The 21,672-nt window shown below is 38.4% G+C and overlaps 1 protein-coding gene across 2 annotated transcripts in view, besides 1 other annotated feature; it reads left to right on the top strand.

The window, feature by feature from the left end:
- Positions 1–20,979, top strand: part of GABRA3 (gamma-aminobutyric acid type A receptor subunit alpha3) — a 285,082-nt gene extending 264,103 nt beyond the window's left edge. For both annotated transcript variants that reach the window (XM_006724811.4, NM_000808.4), the window contains one exon: positions 18,650–20,979. In XM_006724811.4, coding sequence (XP_006724874.1) covers positions 18,650–18,741 — 92 coding nt within the window. In that variant the 3' untranslated portion in view covers positions 18,742–20,979. The remainder of the gene's footprint in view (positions 1–18,649) is intronic.
- Positions 9,822–10,116: an enhancer, noted in NCBI's record as "tiled region #4725; K562 Activating DNase matched - State 5:Enh". NCBI's record gives its function as "activates a minimal TATA promoter and a strong SV40 promoter by Sharpr-MPRA in K562 cells {active_cell/tissue: K562}" and the evidence as "EXISTENCE:reporter gene assay evidence [ECO:0000049][PMID:27701403]".

The raw sequence follows: 21,672 nt of genomic DNA, 5'->3' as shown, positions 1-21,672 counted from the left end.
CAAAGATAGAGTTCTGGTTTTTATTTCTCATCTTACTGTTTTTGGTTGGTTGCAGAGAGGAAAAGTGAACAAAGGTATCCTTACTCTGACATATTAAACTGGAAGTTCCCTAAAATACATTATTAAACAGATAGATATTTTAGGAGCAGTTAGCAGCAATCAGTGATATACAGCTTGAGTTCACTAATGAGAAATTATCTAACCTCATGAGCATTTGTCAACAGTTTATTGGACTAGTGGACCAGAAAATGTCATAGATTTTAATAAAATATTTGACTAACTTTTAAAAAATTATACCTCCTTGAAGAAAAGGAAGCAGGCTGGATGTGGTGGCTCACGAAGCGGGCAGACTGCTTTAGCTCAGGAATTTGAGACCAGCCTGGGCAACATGGTAAAATCCCGTCTCTACAAAAAAAATTAATAATTATCTGGGCATGGGTGCATATGCCTGTAGTCCCAACTAGTCAGGAGGGTGAGGTGGGAGGTTCATCTGAGCTTGGGAAGTTCGGACTGCAGTGAGCCAAGGTCGCACCACTGCACTCCAGCCTGGGTGACAGAGTAAGACGCTGTCAAATAAAAAAAAGAAGAGAGAGAGAAGAGAGAGAGAGAGAGATAAAGGAAGGAAGGAAGGGAGGGAGGCAAAAAAAAAATAGTACAATTAGGCTGATGTAGTTGGTTGACCAATTCAAATCAAATAGAATTAACTGATGGCGCTGAAGGCGATGGCTCACACCTGTAATCCCGACAGTTTGGGAGGCCAAAGCAGGCAGATCACTTGAGGTCTGGAGTTCAAGACCAGCCTGGCCAACATGGCGGAACCCCATCTCTACAAAAATACAAAAAATTAGCTGGGCACGGTAGCATGCTACTTGGGAGGCTGAGACGGGAGAATCACTTGAACCTGGGAGGTGGAGGTTGCAGTGAGTCGAGATTGCACCACTGCACTCCAGCCTGGGCAACAGACAGAGACTCGGTCTCTAAATAAATAAATAAATAAATAAATAAACAATTAAATAAATTGACTGATGGACTGACAGACACCAAACTGAATGGAGGTCCCTGGGGTTACACTACAGGACTTTGTCTTTGACCCTGCTTTTTCAAATGTTGTTATTAATGACTCAGATGAAGACATATAGGGTAGAAGACTCAAATTTATAAGCTGGTATTAATGAATATTGGTTGGGGAATGAGTATTTTCTGAATTAGGAATCAAAGAGGATTTCTAAATTTGAAAGGACAAGCTTAAATTAAAATATTAACATTTGCTAAATCAAATACAGATTCTTACACATAGGTACAAAAAAATAGACCTGGGATTAAAAAAGCTTAACAATTAAACATTGAAAATAAAATGCTAGGATATGAAGAAAATGCAAATCTAATGTACGCCTACTTTGTGCTACAACTCTGGAAAAGCTCAATTTGATTTGGGTCTGAGTTAAGAATCACCTAGAACTAGTGAGAGCATAAGCCCTATTTGATTTGGGTCTAAGTTAAGAATCACCTAGAACTAGTGAGAGGATAAGCCCTTTTTATTATGTACTGGTTGGCCCGTGTTTAGAGTACACTGTTCCAGTTTGGTTACTACAGTAGAGGAGGGACAAATGCCTCAGGGGGATGATTATTGCTATTTTTAGATAGCTGCAAGGCTTCCATGATGTTTTATAAAAAATGAGACAGATTTTTTTTTATGGCCAGTAAGAGGAGTGGAAGTGGTTTGAAGACAGAGAGAGGACTTAAATAGATTGTTAGAAACTCTAGAGCTAGACATCAGAAATGATGACCATTTCTCCATTTAAAAAGTGCTAAAATTTTAAATAGAGAGAACAAAAAGAATATTATAAAACTATTTTGCAAAGATAGTGATCTCAGTCTTCCTCTTTAGTCTCTATGGTCAGTCCATTTAAGTTATCTCAAGAAGCATATTATGAGAATTGAAAAAAAGATGGAATGCAGAAAAATGGATCTCTAATGTACAGGTGCTCTGCTTTGTCTGCACCGCTACAATACGGAGCAACTAATAGTGAGATCAACAGAAAAAAATTTGAAGTGCATTGGAAGGGAAAATATTAGAATTTAATAATAACTTAGTTTCTTTTTTCTTCCATTAGGGAGACATATTAAACCTTTTTGCTTCCTAAAGCTGGAATGGGTGAGCATAAAACAGTTTTAAAATAATATAACTGATTTTAAGATTTATTTTTGATCTGTATTATGATCAGGCATTAGATAAAATGTGAGAGGAAACATTAGAAAGGAAAAAAAGAAGATACAGAAATAAAACCTCATTTTTAAATGAAGATAACTGACTACCCTGTAATTGCACTCTAGACAATAGATGAACTGTGGGTTTTTGATGATCAACCACATGTTTTTATCACTGCTTCCTTTGAAGATTCCGCTAAAATGAGAGTAAAGGAATAAAACAGGTATAAAACCACAAGTAACAGGTGAGAAGGACAAGGGATGTCAGTCAGACAAGAGATATTAACATAGCTATAGAAGAATGAACATTGATGGAGGTTATAATAACTGATTTATCGAACTGCAGTAAAACATAACCCGGGAGAAATTCAGTGTTAGGAAGCGCTAGATACAATAGAGAATAAAACAAAAGTCTGTGTACAGAGTACTCCAGACTCCAGAGCCTGCTCAATATGTGAAATGTCTCTAGCCAGATGTATACTCTCCAGGAAAAAACAGCAGGGTTGCTCTTCTAAAGAAGCTGAGCATCCCTAGAGGAAAGTTTTTGCATACTGACATTTTGAAGTATCCCCTCAAAATGACCTACTTTACCTAATCATCCTAAATCACAGCCCACCAATCAACAAGCTCAGGTTAGCTACATGAGCAAACAGACATCTTCTCTGTTACCAAATAATACTGGGATATCAAGGATCACCAGTTAAAAGTTTGCAATGTGAAAGAGAAGAGCAAAGATTAAAACAAAAACAGGCAAATAAACTAAAAAGGAACACCTCACCTTGAGGGGACAGACATAATTTAGGGAATTAAAGAGAACGTAAGAAAAACAAGACTTTTACTTTAGATTTGTAAATATATTAATAAAATAAGAACAGGATGCTATATAAAAATAAATCAGAGAATAAGGAAGAGGTATTGAAAATAAAAAGAATTGCCAAAATAAAAATTTCAATAGAGAAGTAGGAAAATAAATTAAAGGAAATCAGTCTATAAGTAGAGCAGAAAAAAAAGAATGTGAAAGGAAAGGTAAGAGATCTAGGGATAAAACCAGGAAGTTCATCCAAACTTAAAAAGAAAAATTATATCGAGTATCTTTCCCAACCACAATAGTATGAAACTAGAAAGCAATAAAGAGAATGATTTTGGAAAATTCACAAATACATGAAAATTAAACAACATTCTCCTGAACAACCAATAAGTCAAAGGAGAAATTAAAAGGGAAATTTAAAATATCTTGAGACAAAAATAGACCTACAGTGTACCAAAACTTATGAGTTGCAGCCAAAGCAGTTCTAAGAAGAAGGAAGGTTATAGCAATAAACACCTACATCAAAAAAGAATAAAGATCTCAAATAAGCAATCTAACTTTATGCCTTGAGGAACTTAGAAAAAGAAGAACTAAGCCCAAAGTTACTAGAAAGAAGCAAAGACTAAAGATCAGAGCAGAAATACATGAAATAGGGAACTTAAAAATCAATAGAAAAGATCATTAAAACTAAGATGTGTTTTTTTTTCAAAAGATAAACAAAATAGACAAACCTTTAGACTAAGAAAAAGGAGAGAAGACTCAAATACAAAAAATAAAAAATGAAACAGGAGATGTTAACAACTGTTATCACAGAAAAACAAAGAATCATAACAGATTACTATAAACAATTGTATGCCAACAAACTGATAATCTAGAAATAATAGATAAATTCCTAGACATACATCACCTGCTAAGACTGAATCATGAGGAAATGGAATATCTGAACAGACCAATAATGAATAAGGAGCTGAATCAGTAACAAAAAGTCTCCCATCAAAGAAAAGCCCAGGACCTGATGTCTTCACTGTTGAATTCTACCGAGCACTTAAAGAAGAACTAATACCAATCATTCTCAAATTCTTCCAAAAAATTGAAAAGGGAATACTTCCAAACTCATTTTATATGGCCAGCATTACCTTCATACCAAAGACAGGCAAATACACTACAAGAAAAGAAAATTGCAGGCCAATATCCCTGATGAACAAAATAGATGTAAAAATCCTCAACAAAATTCTAGCAAACCAAAGTTAACAGTACATTAAAAGAATCATTCCCCAGAACTTCTTAAAGTATATATGTATACACTATATATATATACACTATATATAGTACTATAGTATATATACTATAGTATTTATATACTATATATATGTATATATATGGTGTAAATATATACATATATAGTATATATATACTGTATATATATACTATATATACACTATATAGTGTATATATAGTGTATATATACACTATACCTATATATGTATATATACACTATATATACATATATAGTGTATATATAGTGTATATATACACTATATATGTATATATAGTGTATATATAGTGTATATATACTATATATGCATATATAGTATATATAGTGTGTATATACACTATATATGCATATATAGTATATATATAGTGTATATATACACTATATATGCATATATAGTGTGTATACTATATAGAGTATATATACTATATATAGTATGTATACTATATATAGTGTACATATATACACTATATATAGTGTGTATACATACTATATATAGTGCATATATAGTGTGTCTATATATACTAGTGTATATATACACTATATATAGTGTATATATACATAGTGTGTATATATATACATACACTGTGTGTGTGTGTGTGTGTGTGTGTATATATATATATAACACGTCAGGCAATGGCTGTAAGGGTTAAATCATAAACTTAAAAAAAATACTCATCTTGACCAAGTGGGATTTATCCCAGGGATGAAAGGATGGTTCAACATGTGTAAATATATAAATATGCTACACCACATTAACAGAATGAAGTCCAAAACCAAGTTGTCATCTCAGTAGATGCAGAAAAAGCATTTGACAAAATTCAACATTCTTTCATGATAAAAAACCTCTCAACTAATTACAATCACAATAAAGGCCATATATGACAAACCCACAGCTAACATCATACTCAGTGGTAAAAAGTTAAAAGCTTTTTCTCCAAGGTTAGCAGCAAGACAGGTATGTCCACTCTCACTACAGTATTGGAAGACCTATCCAGAGCAATTCAACAAGAGAAAGAAATAAAGGGCATCCAAATTGGAAAGGAAGAAGTTAAATTTTCCCTGCATATGGATGGCCTGATCTTTTTTCTTTTTTTTTATTATTATACTTTAAATTTTAGGGTACATGTGCACAATGTGCAGGTTAGTTACATATGTATACATGTGCCATGCTGGTGTGCTGCACCCATTAACTCGTCATTTAGCATTAGGTATATCTCCTAATGCTATCCCTCCCCCAGCCTCCCACCCCACAACAGGCCCCAGAGTGTGATGTTCCCCTTCCTGTGTCCATGTGTTGTCATTGTTCAATTCCCACCTATGAGTGAGAATATGCAGCGTTTGGTTTTTTGTTCTTGTGATAGTTTACTGAGAATGATGATTTCCAATTTCATCCATGTCCCTACAAAGGACATGAACTCATCATTTTTTATGGCCTGATCTTATATATAGAAAACCCTAAAGACCCTACAAAAAAGAAAAGAAAAGAAAAGAAAAAAGCTGTTAGAACTAGCAAATAAATTTAGTAAAGTTGCAGGAGACAAAGTCAACATGCAAAAATCAGTTGCATTTCTTTATCAACAATGAACTATCTGGAAAAGAAATCAAGAAAGCAATCCCATTCACAATAAGTACAAAAAATAATAAAATACTTAGGAATAAATTTAACCAAGAGGATAACAGACTAGTACACTAAACCTATAAAATACCAAATAAAGAAATTGAAGACACAAATAAATGGAAAGATACCCACTGTTCATGGCTAGAAGAATTAATATTGTTAAAATGTTCATGCCACCCAAACTGATGTACAGATTAAATGCAACTCTATCAAATTCCAATGTCATTTTTAATAGAAATAGAAAAGATACAGTCCTAAGACTTACATGGAACCACAAAATACTCTGAATGTCAAAGCAATCTTGAGCAAAAAGAAGAAAGCTGAAGGCATCGTATTACCTGACTTCAAAATATGCTCTAGAACTATATTAACCAAAACAGCTTGGTACTGGCATAAAACAGACACACAGAGCAATTTAACACAATAGAGAGCACAAAAATAAATTCATGCATTTATGGTTAATTGATTTTCCACAAAGGTATCTAGAACACACAATGAAGAAAGGACAGCCTATTTAACAAATGATGTTGGGAAAACTGGATAGCCACACACAGAGAAATGAAGTTAGACCCTTATCTCACACCATATGCAAAGGTCAACTCAAAATGGATTAAAGGTTTAAATGTAATGCCTGAAATTCTAAAACTACTAAAATGAAACATTGGGGAAAAAAATCTCTGTGAAACAAAGGTAATTTGAATATGATCCCAAAAGCATAGGCAACAAGAGTACAAATAGACAAATGGGATTACACCAAACTAAAAAGCTTTTTGATAGCCAAGGAAACAATCAACAGAGCAAAGAGACAACCTATAGAATAAAAGAACATATTTGCAAACCAACCATCTAATAAGAGGCTAATATAAAAACTATACAAGGAACCCAAACAACTCAATAGCAAGAAAACAACCCAATTTAAAAATTCACAAAGGACTTGAATAGGCATTTCTCAAAAGAAGACATACAGCTAGATAATAGTTATATTTTTAAAATGCTCAAGATTACTAATCATCAGAAAAATGTAAATTAAAACCACAATGAGATATCACCTCACACTTTTAAAAATGTCTGTTATCAAAAAGACCGAAGATAACTGTTGGTGAGGATTTGGAGAAAAGGGAATCCTTCCACACTATTGGTGGGAATGTAAATTTGCAAAGCTAGTATGGAGGTTCCTGAAAAAATTAAAAATAGAAATACCAAATGGTTGATCGACCCCACTACTGGGTATATATCCAAAGAACTTGAAATCAGTATGTCAAAGAAGTATGTGTACTTGTATAATAATTACAGCATTATTCACAAAAGCCAATATGTGTAATCAACCTAAGTGTCTATAAACTGATGAATAGATAAAGAAAATGTGGTATAGGCAATGGAATACTATTCAGCCTTTAAAAAAGAAGGAAACCCTGTCATTTACATAAGCACGGATGAACCTGAAGAACATTACTATAAATGAAATAAGCTAGGCACAGAAAAGAAAAATACCACATGATGTCACTTACATGTGTGATCTAAAAAAGTTGAACTCTAATCCCAGCACTTTGGGAGACTGAAGCGGGCAGATCACGAGGTCAGGAGATCGAGACCATCCTGGCTAACATGGTGAAGCCCCATCTCTACTAAAAATACAAAAAATTAGCCAGGTGTGGTGGCGGGCGCCTGTAGTCCCAGCTACTTGGGAGGCTGAGGCAGGAGAATGGCGTGAACCCGGGAGGCAGAGCTTGCAGTGAGCCGAGATCGCGCCACTGCACTCCAGCCTGAGCGACAGAGCGAGACTCCATCTCAAAAAAAAAAAAAAAAATTGAACTCACAGAAGCAGAGGGTAGAATGGTGGTTACTGGGGACTGGGAGTTGGGGGTAGTTGTTGGTCAAAGAATACAAAATTTTACTTAGAGAAGAATAAGTTCAAGAGACCCTATCGTACAACAAGTGACTGTAGTTAATAGCAATGTTCTGTATTCTTGAAAACTGCTAAGAGTAGATTTTAAATGTTCTTACCACAGAAAATGATAACTGTGAGGCAATGCATATGTTAATTAGCCCAATATAGCCATTCCATAATGTACACCTATTTCAAAACATCATTTTGTACATGATAAATACATGCAATTTCATTTGTCAATTAAAAATGAATAAATAGAAATAAAAATTATAAAAAGTGAAGTACTAAAGTGACAACTGTGCAGCAAGCAAATTTGCAAAGGAACCAGTCCAGTTTGCAGATGGCTACTACAGGGATTTATACAGTCATTTATAATGCTATCACCACTGGTTATTGATAGAACTAAAAAGTTTGCTATAATTGTACTAGAGGATTCAGGAAGGGTTACATATGTGAAATAAATCATTTATCATGAAAAGACAATTGGTAGTAAGCAAAACTGGTAGCAGTATAAATATATTGTATAAAAGTATAGAAATAACTATTAGAAGTATTACTATCACCTAAGAGAATTAAAAATAAATACCTACAAGGGGCTGGACAATGGGTTTGGGTGCATTGGGGTAAGGGTTTCTTGATTTTCATAAGTTTTCAACTTCAATTTTTTAAACTATGTCCATTACTACTTTAAGTTATTCAACATTAAAAATAATAAAAGCAAATTTAAATGAAAAAACAAATCTCAACATTTAAAAAGAAGAAAATTATTCTTAGAACCATTTATAAAATTTGTATAACTTCTTGTATAAATTTTGCAAAAAATAGTAATGCTTGGACTTTCTTTTTTTATTTTCAAATGCTCTAGAATAAAATTTTATCTTTTTTACATTGGAGAAAACATTCACATTCTCTTCAAATCTTGGAAAAGCTTAGTTTCTTGTCCTTAATGGCTTTTAAGTCTATGGGTCATTCCTGCAATTGTAGCCACAAATCAAATCACCCCTTGGTATTTCTTTGTTGGGTAAGTAACATTCAATATGGGTTAAGTTTTACTCATAAACTGGTGGTCTTCCTACCTTGCTCTGCAGTAGGTATAAGTGGCCTAGCAGTAATCATAGTCTCGATTGAAACACACACACACACACACGCACACACACACACACATAGACGCACACACGGCAATTATTTCTGGAATACCTGTGGTTTGCAAAACTAAACTACATGGTCCCAGTACTCAGGACCTGATGGTCTAAGAAAAGTAAGGCATATATCCATATATATATACACACATATACAGACAGAGCACTGATATAGGACAAAGTGCTGAGTGTCACAGGAGAGATAAATCCAAAATACTTCCTCTCTATTTTGTTGTTTACCTTACTGAGTACTTGACTGTTTCCTAAAAAATCTACTGCCCTTGCAAGTGGAAGCCACTCCTCCATTCCCTCCTGCTGCTTCCAGGCCACTGTTTACTCCTTTACTTCATGCAAAAAGTTTTGTCCTTTGATGTTCACTTCATCTGGCTTTATCACTCTATTTTTCTTCATCTTGCTCAACTTAGCAACATTATTGTATTCTCTCCGTGTTCATTTCATATGTAGGATTTCTACAACCAGTTCACTTTATTTGCAACTGCCCCAAGTTCTCTCTTTGTTTTTCAATTGGATGACTCATCTGACATCATAAACTGGAATTGAGCCTATTAAATGAGGTCTGGATTGTCCCATTTACCAGGCATTGCTACTGTTTCCAGCACTACGTGAAGGTTTCAGAAATGAACCAATCTAACTGCCTGTATATTTGTTCTAGTGTTTTGTTTTTGTTTTTTGTATTTTTTTTTTTTTTCAGAAAAACAGTGACAGTAAGTCAGCTAATTGTGTTAGTGTTTTTGGAACTGTTACTTGACATCAGAAGAGTTTTGTAATGAAATTTGTGGACACATGAGGCCATATGTTCCATAGGGCTCGCCTCTGTGTCATCCTTGGTCAATACCCAAATTGTAGTTTTCTCTATGGTTATTTATCCTCCCCTCACTTCTTATCCTTATCCTCTTCTGTGGTTTTTTCTTGACGTATCCTCCTACTCCTCATAAACTGTCCCTCACTTCCCTCAGGAACTCCTGTTCATGGGAAGATAAAACATTCTGCCCCAGCAGCTTCTTCATTGAATGACCCGTCCACCTCCTGTTTTAACTGATATGTGATTCTCAGTTGAGACTTCCTTCCAACTGCCTTCCTGCTTGGCAGAAGCTGTTAATCAGATTCCCATTTTCCAGAAGTGTAGTTTACATCGTCTTAATCCCCAGTACTGCTTTCAGACCATTACTCTCTCACTCTTTGATATTAAAGATGTCTTCTTTGAAAAAGGTGTCAACTCCTCACTTGGATTCTCATACATCAGGATTTCCTGTTTTTCTTGTTCGTCCTTGGTATTTTCTTTGCACTATCCTTGTCTTCTTTCCAGCACTAAACGTTAGAGCATTTCAGGGCAGCTCAGTCAGATCTGCAGGCCAGTCAGCAGTCTGATCTCTTTTTTATTTTCTGAATCTGTACTCACTTCTCAAGCGACCTCATTCAATCCCAAGACATTGAATCAATGGCCATCTAGAGGCGAACAACTTCCAAATATGTATCTCTATCCCAAACCTTTCCCCTAAGCTGCAGACTGATATATGTAACTGTGTACATCTCTATTGGGATTATATTCCTATTGGGATGTCTGATAAAAATGTAATTCTCATATCCAAACACAACTCCTCATCTTCCCCCTAAACCTGCTCTTCTTCAAGTCTTCCCAGCACAGCCAATAATGTCACTATTCTTCCAGATGCTCAGGCCAAAAACCTGGAATCCATTCTTAATTCTTTTATTTTTCTTACCTGCCCCCAACTCTGCTCTCAGACAACCCAAACCTAACTCATCAGCAAGTCCTAACTCCTCTACGTGCACAATATAACTTGAATCTGTCTACTTTTCTCCATATCTAACATTCAACACACCACACCTCTTCACTAGCCTCATTAGGACTAACATCCTAATTTTAGTCCTTTACTTTCAGTGCCTACACATCTATTCTCTGCCCAACAGTAGGGAAGATCAATTAAAATAGTAAATTATAAAAATTCTGCTCCAAATAGTTTAATGGCTTCCCACTACATTTAGATCAAATTCCATTATTCTTACGATGGTGCTCAAAACCTTACAGGATCTTGTCCTTAGATCTGTGATGGTACCTCTTACCATCTTTTTTGAATTTTCATTCACTCCACTCACTCATCCCATAGTGGCCTCCTTGATGATTCTATTTATTTATTTATTTATTTATTTATTTATTTATTTATTTATTTTTGAGATGGAAACTCACTCTGTCACCCAGGCTGGAGTAGAGTGGTGCAATCTCGGCTCACTGCAACCTCCATTTCCTGGGTTCAAGCGATTCTTCTGCCTCAGCTTCCTGAGCAGCTGGGACTACAGGCGTGTACCACCATGCTTGGCTAATTTTTTGTATTTTTAGTAGAGACTGGGTTTCACCGTGTTAGCCAGGATGATCTCGATCTCCTGACCTCATGATCTGCCCGCCTTGGCCTCCCAAAGTGCTGGGATTACAGGCGTGAGGCACCGTGCCCAGCCTCCTTGATGATTCTTAATGAATCACTTTCATTCCAAGCCCAGGTACTTTGTCATTACCATTCTTTCTCTATGGAATGTTTATTGTTGAGATCTTTTCACAGCTTGCTTTCTTATTTTGTTCAGGTCTCTACTTACCTTCTCAGGCAGACCTTCTATCACTAGCATTCATCATCTTTTTCTGCACTGCCCTGCTTTATGTGCTTCCATGATAATTCTCACCTCCTGACATTACATTGCTTTATGCATTTTTTTGCTTCTATGTTTATTACATGTCCCCCCAACTGGGATGTGAACTCCTTTAGGGCAGGAGCTGTGTTTTACCATTTATTCCTGCACCCCAAGCACCTAGCACAGAACCTGTCACATTGTAGACGCAGAAAATATTAAATAAATGGATGATTTCCTATGTTTTCCTTGCTTCTCTATCCAGCATAGGTCCCACACTGTATCACTGCAGTCACTCACCAGCACTCTTGACCTCCCTAGTCACTTCAGTCCAAGTCCTCTATTTCTCTCCGAAAAAAAAAAAAAATCCATTGCTATTGATGGATTGGTGACATTTATGAGTGTATTTTTGAATTCTGCTGTTCCTTCAACCTATGCCTGCAGTTACTCTCTGTCCCTAATTAGTTCTGTCTTCTTTATTCTACAAAATCTAGTTTAAATTAGCCAGGCATGTCTACAGCTATCTGATCTTTGACAAACCTGACAAAAACAAGCAATGGGGAAAGGATTCCCTATTTAATAAATGGTGCTGGGAAAACTGGCTAGCCATATGGAGAAAGCTGAAACTGGATCCCTTCCTTACACCTTAGACAAAAATTAATTCAAGATGGATTAAAGACTTAAATGTTAGACCTAAAACCATAAAAACCCCAGAAGAAAACCTAGGCAATACCATTCAGGACATAGGCATGGGCAAGGACTTCATGTCTAAAACACCAAAAGCAATGGCAACAAAAGCCAAAATTGAAAAATGGGATCTAATTAAACTAAAGAGCTTCTGCACAGCAAAAGAAACCACCATCAGAGTGAACAGGCAATCTACAGAATGGGAGAAAATTTTTGCAACCTACTCATCTGACAAAGGGCTAATATCCAGGATCTACAATGAACTCAAACAAATTTACAAGAAAAAAACAAACAACTCCATCAAAAAGTGGGTGAAGGATATAAACAGACACTTCTCAAAAGAAGACATTTATGCAGCCAAAAGACACATGAAAAAATGCTCATCATCACTGGCCATCAGAGAAATGCAAACCAAAACCACAATGAGATACCATCTCACACCAGTTAGAATGGCGATCGTTAAAAAGTCAGGAAACAACAGGTGCTGGAGAGGATGTGGAGAAATAGGAACACTTTTACACTGTTGGTGGGACTATAAACTAGTTCAACCATTGCGGAAGTCAGTGTGGCGATTCCTCAGGGATCTAGAACTAGAAATACCATTTGACCCAGCCATCCCATTACTGGGTATATACGCAAAGGACTATAAATCATGCTGCTATAAAGACACATGCACACGTATGTTTATTGCGGCACTATTCACAATAGCAAAGACTTGGAACCAACCCAAATGTCCAACAATGATAGACTGGATTAAGAAAATGTGGCACATATACACCATGGAATACTATGCAGCCATAAAAAAGGATGAGTTCATGTCCTTTGCAGGGACATGGATGAAGCTGGAAACCATCATTCTCAGCAAACTATGGCAAGGACAAAAAACCAAACACCGCATGTTCTCACTCATAGGTGGGAATTGAACAATGAGAACACATGGGCACAGGAAGGGGAACATCACACACCAGGGCCTGTTGTGGGGTGAGGGGAGAGGGGAGGGATAACATTAGGAGATATACCTAATGCTAAATGACGAGTTAATGGGTGCAGCACACCAACATGGCACATGTATACATATGTAACAAACCTGCACGTTGTGCACATGTACCCTAAAACTTAAAGTATAATAATAATATAAATAAATAAATAAATAAATAAATTAGCCAGGCGCGGTGGCTCATGCCTGTAATCCCAGCACTTTGGGAGGCTGAGAATTGAGTACAGATTCAGAAAAAACACCTGAGGTCAGGAGTTCGAGACCAGCCTGACCAAATGGAGAAACTCCCTTCTCTACTAAAAATACAAAACTATCCTGGGGAGGGGGGCAGCGGTGGCACATGCCTGTAATCCCAGCTACTCAGGAGGCTGAGGCAAGAGAATTGCTTGAACCCGGGAGGCAGAGATTGCAGTGAGCCGAGATCATGCCATTGCACTCCAGCCTGGGCAACAAGAGCAAAGTTCCATCTCAAAAAATATATATATACATATATATTCTAGTTTAAATCTTTGCTATTTATTTAACCTTCCTCATGGGGAATGTAGAAGCCATTGTATGAGATTTCCCTTAACCTACTGTGCTCCTTTCTCTCCACCAAAATATAGTATCTAATCTCATCCATTCTTTCCTTCTCAGCTGTGATCTGGACCTGAGAAATTCCACACTTATGCTCTAGATAACCCCCACCCCCCCACCGCCTTTACAGGAAAGTGGTGCAAGTGATTATTTTTCTTCCATCTGCATTTTCTCTCCTTTCCATTGACTTACCTGACAGTTCCAAATTCTTCCTTCTCTTGAACTCCCTTGATTTCATTATTCATGCCCCTCTGAATGTTTCTAATTTGTGCTTTCTCCTGTATATTTTAATTCTCTCTTATTTTAATTAACCTTCCTCACTAAACTAGATTTCCTGAGGGCAGGGTCTCTGATTTAATCATATATGTGTATATATGTGTGTGTGTGTGTGTGTGTGTGTGTGTGTACACATACTCGTAAATATATATAACCTTAATCAATTTGAATTGTGTAATTCAGTCCTGTTAAATACATTCACATTGCTGTGCAGTCTCCTGAACCCTTTTCATCTTGCAAAACTGGACCTCTGTATTCATTAAACAACAACTCCCCATTCCTTTCTGCCCTAGCCCCAGCACCCACCATTCTACTTTCTGTCTCTATGAATTTGCTACTCTAGATATGTCATAGAAGTAAAATCACATAACAGTTATCCTTTTGTGACTGGCTTATTTCATTTAGCATCCTCAAGATTCATGTCTGTTGTAGTATATATCAGAATTTCCTTCCTTTGTGAGGTTGAAGAATTGTGAATGGAATGAATTCATTGTGTGTATATACCACATTTTGTTTATTGTTCTCTCGATGGACACTTGGGTTGCTTCCACCATTTGGCTATTGGGAATAATGAAGGTGTGAACATGGGTATGCAAATATCTCTTTGAGACCCTGCTTATAATTTGGGGATATATACTCAGAAGTGGAACTGCTGAATCATATAGTGATTCTATTTGTAAGTTTTTGAGGAACCCTCACAACATTTTCCATAGTGGTTGCACCATTTTACATTCCCAATAGTGCACAAGGGTTTCAATTTCTCCACATCCTTGCCAATACTTGATATTTTCTGGGGTTTTTTGGTAGTACCCATCATAATGTGAGGTGGGGTCTCATGGCTTTGATTTGCATTTCTGATTAGTGATGCTTACCATCTTTTCATGTGATTGTTGGCCATTTGTAAATCTTTTTTGGAGATATGTCTACTCAAGTCCTTTGCCCATTTTTAAATTGAGTTGTTTGGGTTTTTGTTGTTGGTTTTATTCATCTTTGAGTCCCACATAGCATATATTCCATTGTTTTGCCCCACTTCTGGAAATGGGCTCAGAAAAGCTGAGCACCTGCAAGGGGGTTGACACAGAGGCACTGGACCATGTAAGTATATACTCTGAGGTTCTAGTTGAGCTTCACCTTTAGAGACAATTGACAGGAGTATCATCGGAGGAAGACTCTTGAGTGGGACATGCATTTCTCTATAAAAGTTTTCATTGCCTCATCACAAAACCCACATGAAATAGATTTTTAGAAGGAAAGGCGTTCCTGTTCTGGATTCAAACTCCTTGGGAAATTTGGAGAAGTCAATTTCCACTTTTTGGTTAGGAAATTGCCCTAGGCTGAACTTTGGAGACATGCTATTTATGCAGCAAAGGTCAAGACTCAGGGGAAACAAACAATAAATCACATTGATAATCTTCAATGGTGGGTATTTTTTCATTCAGTAAACATCCATCATTTGCCTAAGAGCCAGATACTTGGCTAGGGGGTAGGAATATTATGACAATTCGGTCAAAGTTAAGTCATCTCAGTCTGTATCTATCAAGGAGAATTACTGGAAAACTAGGTGTAGAAATGGGTAAATATTACCATTAATCTATGGCTCATTTTCCTATTTTCTTGACACTCAAATTTTGCTTTGATTTCCTTCTTTAATGATTTAGGTAAAAAATTGTAGTGGCTGATTAAAATGTGTCATGTTGAAAATGGTGGAAGAAATTAAAAGGTAATTTTCCCTTACTACTTAAAAAATCTGTGATTAACGTGATTGCTGCTTCTCCCCATCTATAGAACATAAAGTGCCTATGGAGCTAAAAAAAAGTATTCATTGTTCAGAATCACTGTTTCAGAGACTTAGTCATAGCCAGTTTATAAGATGGCTAAGTGAAGTAACATATATAAAAGCTTCTAGAAAAGTCAGGGCAATATTTTCTTTCCTTTCTTTTTTCTTTTCTTTCTTTCCTATAATTTTTGGTCTACCCATGAAAAAAGAGTTTACTAAGCAAATTAATAAGCAAGTTTGCAAACAAGCAAAGCACCCTTTTATTTAATAGCAAAGACATTTAGCAGCAGGGCTCTATTCACACAATGAATTTGCTAATTATAAGTGAGTCCCATGTAGTATTTAAATAATTTACAAGGTTTTTAGAAACCTTAGAGTTCTGTCCCCCTTCCACTTGTAACAATGTGATTGCAATCCCCAGGGAGAAAGAATATTGCTTTCAAAATATCCTATTAGTCAGACTGTTCAATTTACGTAAACCAACATCCTCTCATCTGTCGCACTTCCCGTCCATGACTGAAAACACTGAGGCCAAAATAAGCAGACAAAGCAAGAGAGCATAGCATATAAGGCCTTTCAAGGTCTTGCTGCTGCCTGTTTTACACAGCCTCAGTTTCTGCAACTCTTTGCCATGCACGCTGTGGCCCAGCTACAGTAAACTTCTTGTCAACTCAAAAAACAGTGCCCTTGGCCAGGTGTAGTGGCTTGCACCTGTAATCCCAGTGATTTTGGAAGCCAAGGTGGGAGGATCACCTGAAGCCAGGAGTACAAGACCAGCCTGGGCAACATAGTGAGACATCATCTCTAAATTAAAAAACAAAAAAATAGCTGGGCATGGTGGCACATGCCTGTAGTCCCAGCTACTCAGGAGCCTGAGGCGGGAGAATCACTTGAGCCCAGGAGTTCAAGACTGTAGTGGGCTATGTTTACACAAGGCCCACCAGCCCAGGTGACAGAGCAAGACCCATGTCTCTAAAATAAATAAATAAAGTGTCCTTGGCCTGTGTACTGGCCTTTGCCGCATGCTCATCTTTTGTGACCCAGAGCATAAACTTCATTGCCTTCTCTGAGCCACCTTTTCCAATGCCTGCAGGTACTTTGTCCCTCCTTTGACTGATTTCCCATAGTACTTGGCCCAGATCTTTGAGAAGTCTGATCACGTTCAATGGCAATCGTGTGCTTAAAAGGCTTTCTCCCACACCCGAGTGTGAGCTCCTGGAAGACAGGGACTCATGTTTTACCCTTTCCATTTATCTCTAAGTACCTAGCATAGTTCTTGGCCCAGTACGCATTCAGTAAATATTGGGCAAAAGTTATTAGGATCACTATAGTAAATGGCAGTGACGTCTAAAGGAGAAAAAATAAGAATGATGGGGACTCTGAAGTTAAGAAGAAAGGATATATGAAGAGATGAGGAGATAGGGGTCAGCAAGAGAGGATGGAAATAGAGAAACACACAAAGAAAACAAGTAGGAAGTGAAGGAATAAAGAAGTGAAGCCTGGGTTCTGGGAAGCAAAGTAACATCAAGAATGCACTCATGAGGTATGTGAAATTAGGGCATTTCTGAAGCTCATCTATACCCACTTTTCCCTAGAGCCAAACTGGGATGGAAGAAAAGGCCAGAGTGAGGAATGAGGCAACAAACCATCTATAGACTATGAGCTAGGCCACTGCATTTGGCCTGGGGCTGGGGTTGGCCTCCTTCCCTGGCCTCTCCTGTTCTTCAGCTTCTCAGTTTGTATCCAGGCCTAAGCATTGTCTCCTCTTCTCTCTTCTGCATCAGGGGAGGCCCAGTGAGGCTCTCTGTATACACAAGTTCATATATATGAGAGCAAATTGGCCTGTGTGTGTGCTTGCTTCCCACTGGGTGTTTGAGTTTCTTTCACTCTTAAAAATAAGCCCAAAGGGCAGTGACATAGCAACTCCGCATCTATCTCTGCCTTTGCTATGTCAGAGAGTCTTTTACATAGCTCTGTGGAAAGCCTTGGCCCGCTCCTGAGCTTGCTGAACAGTTACACTGCATGAAGGGTGGGAAGCTGTTGTAATGATGCATGTCAACATGCCATGGTATGTATTGTCTTTATGACAAAATGACTTTTCAGACTCACCAAGCTCTCTTCCTCACAGGAGATGTGCCACTTGATGGTCACGGCCTTCTGGAGTTATTTCTTGGGTAACCAAAAAGTGTCCGGGGCCTATAGAAAGCAGCACAGTGTAGCCCTAGATAAAAATCTCTTACCCAGATTGCAAGTTAGGCTCTGCCACTTAGTCTGAGGCTGAGTTTTCTCATCTGTCAAATGGGAGTAATCTCATCCACCTACCTCATAGGGGTTGCTCTGAGGATCGAATCACATGATGTATAAGATTCCACATGTGACCAACATTCCACAGTTTATTGGCGATTTCTAGCTCCATTCTCTTATCTGATCCTCTCAACAATCCTGAAAATTATTTTGATCCTCATTTTACAGATGAAGAAACTGAGGCATGAAGAGGAAAAGTGACTTAGCCAAAGCGACATAGCTCGTGAGCCAGGATGATGCACGTTTTCTCTTTTCATACTCATCTTCAGTTATTCCTTGACACAAACCTGGTTACTAGTGCTATTGGCTACATGGCCCCTGTGCCTTAACTTCCCTCATGGCTCCTCCTCCCTGCAGCCTCTGAAGGTTCTCTGTGTAATGAATTAATTAGCTTTGCTTTTTTCTCCCTTTCCCCCCCTCTTTTTCCTGGCCTCTAGAAGAAAACACCAGCAGCCCCAGCAAAGAAAACCAGCACTACCTTCAACATCGTGGGGACCACCTATCCCATCAACCTGGCCAAGGACACTGAATTTTCCACCATCTCCAAGGGCGCTGCTCCCAGTGCCTCCTCAACCCCAACAATCATTGCTTCACCCAAGGCCACCTACGTGCAGGACAGCCCGACTGAGACCAAGACCTACAACAGTGTCAGCAAGGTTGACAAAATTTCCCGCATCATCTTTCCTGTGCTCTTTGCCATATTCAATCTGGTCTATTGGGCCACATATGTCAACCGGGAGTCAGCTATCAAGGGCATGATCCGCAAACAGTAGATAGTGGTGGCAGTGCAGCAACCAGAGCACTGTATACCCCGTGAAGCATCCAGGCACCCAAACCCCGGGGCTCCCCTTCGCGTATTTCAGGATTCTCCTTTTTACCCCTCTACCAAGCTGTGACCCTCAATTCATATTTATGAATCTCTACGCAAAAAATAACTACAGAAAAATTACTTGTCCCTCCAATATTGCCCAGTATAACCCCATCAAAGCCAAACACTGCCATTTGTCCAGTTGCTCATCTTAGTCTGCCAATCTCCCCTAGCTGAGGGCACTGCATGTATTTTATTGCACTCTGCCCGCTGCAAAAAGAACAAGAGATTCTACTCTCCATAGTGGAAGCCTTGGCTGTTTGAGAGGCCCAGAACAAGGAGAATTGTTGACTCCCATCTAGATCAGATGACTCTAACTTACTAGGCAGCCAGGTTAGGCTAGGCCATGTGATCCTGCGTGCCACCTCCCCTGCCTTCAGCAAGGCCTACTAGGCATAAGTACTGATAGCAAAGGTGGGAGCCAGTTCTACACCCCCAACCCATTTATTGGTTTGGAAATTAGTGGGGACAATTGGTACTAACCACCGTCTACCATGTATGGCCAAAATAAATAGAACTAGCTCTGCCAGCCTGGCACCAAGATGGCTGGTGCCCTGCCATGTCCAGCCCCTCGGGAAAATAGTCCCCTCCTTGGTACATCTCTCCTCCAGAAAATCTTCTTCCCCCACTGCCTTTGGCACCCTTGTAGCCAACTGAGCACTACTTAATTTGGACTCATTACCACCTGTAAACTTTTCAGGAAAAAATGATCAAGCATTTTTTATTTATATCGAAAAGTTGCAAATAGAAACAAAGTGATCTAGATTTAAAAAAAACATTTTTTTAAAATATGGGAGAGATACAAAAGTCACCTCCCTGCCAAGGCAACTAGCCTATACTGGATTGGGTAAGAGGTTTGGAGTGGATGGTAGTTGAGGATTGAAGTCTGGCTCAAAAGAGAAGGCTACTGGCAGATGAAAGTCAAATTCTTCCTTCCATACACTCCACATTCCACACCCTGGCCCAGGCACTTTTCTCCCACCATATCGGGAACCTCCGGTCCTCTGTTGATGCCGATTCTATGAGGGGTGAATTGGAAATTCATACAAATAAATATCTCTAGTCAATATTGAGTCAACTAGATCATTAACTTTATTGCCAATTTTATAATATATTATTTAGAGGCCATTTGTTCTTAATCTTAATGTGAGTAAAAGACACAGGCATAAATACGCAATTTTTATAAGGTAGATAAACTGAATCCCAGAAGTTTGAATGATTTGCCTAGGCTCCTTACAAGTGTCTTTAATAAAGAGCTATCGTGCGCCCCTTTCCAAAGGCCAAAATAAAGGACTGAGAAGCCAGGTCCACCGTGACCTCAGAATCAGCACAATCTCAGCGGGCCTTCTGGGTCACTAGTGGAACTTGGTTGGGCACCAAAAAGGTTTTTAGAAAGTCACAATGTGTCACCCAAGAAGATCACTTTTAATAGTCTCAGCCCAAGAGAATGAGACTGTTTATGATGGCAGCCCCAGCCACTTTGGCTCTGAATACCTGCACTAGTCCAGAGTATCCTAGAAGCCCAGGGTAAAGCCACAGAGGGCACCACAAGCAGATTCTCCCTGCCCACCGGCTGAACAAAGCTCCTAAGGGGTGTATCATTAGCTGCTGGTTGCCTTTTCATCCATCCTTTCCCCGTCCCCTGCTTCCTTGCCATTGCTGGGATAATGCATGCCCGTCCCATTATTCCTAAGACTGTGTCTGTAGGTAAATTCATGACTAGAAGAGTGTAGTCTTGTGGATATGTGGGGATATGGGGGGTGGGAGGGCGGGGCTGTTAATGGTTGTCTTAAGGAACTTAGAATGGAAGCCTGATCTTTGCCTCTCTGTAGAAATTGTGTTTCCAAATGCTTTGGTGCAATGTTTAGCTGCTGTTTATTAAACCCTTTCTGAATTGTACTTGGTCTGCAGAACTTTCTTTGGTCACTCTTTGCCTAACACAGACAGTACTATGTTTTTGGCTTTCACCCCCAATCTCATGCCACCATTACTTTCTGCTTCTTAACAACCATTGGAAAAAGATGGAAGAAAGGTACCCCCAGAGCAAGAAATGTATTACAATGATCCAAAGTAAAACTCGTGTGAAAACATAGCTTTGATTGACTCGAGGGTCTCATTGCCCAATATGAAATATTATGAAAAAGCTGTATTGCTTCTTCTGCTAAATTCACCCACTCCCAGGAAATAGAGCAATGTATTTTCATTGTAATTCTAAAGGATTTCTCTTCTCCATGGCTTACTATTTTCCCTTTGGCAACAGTTCCCATTCCAGGAACACGACCCCATCTTTTGGTTCCCTGTTACACAACTTGGAAGAGTTGGCAACTTCAAAGGAATTTGATCGTACACCAAGTAAGGACAACTAGGAGACTAAACCTGAAAATACAAGGTTTAAACTCTCAGGTCTAACAGTGATCTCCCCAGCCTCCCCACCCCTATCCCACACTCAGATCTTTGCCCTCAGCTCCATGTGGCAGGGTCTCCCTTGATGTGACACAGGATCATTAGTGCCCCAACTCCAGTTCTAGCATGGGAAAAGTTGGATCCTAAATTGAGGAGATTAAGGGGGTGCTGGTGCCGGGAAGGGGGCCC

The sequence above is a fragment of the Homo sapiens genome, chromosome X (genome assembly GCF_000001405.40).
Source record: "Homo sapiens chromosome X, GRCh38.p14 Primary Assembly".
Taxonomy (NCBI): domain Eukaryota; kingdom Metazoa; phylum Chordata; class Mammalia; order Primates; family Hominidae; genus Homo; species Homo sapiens.
Note: the sequence above shows the minus strand (reverse complement) of the source record. Positions and strands in the feature narration are given on the sequence as shown.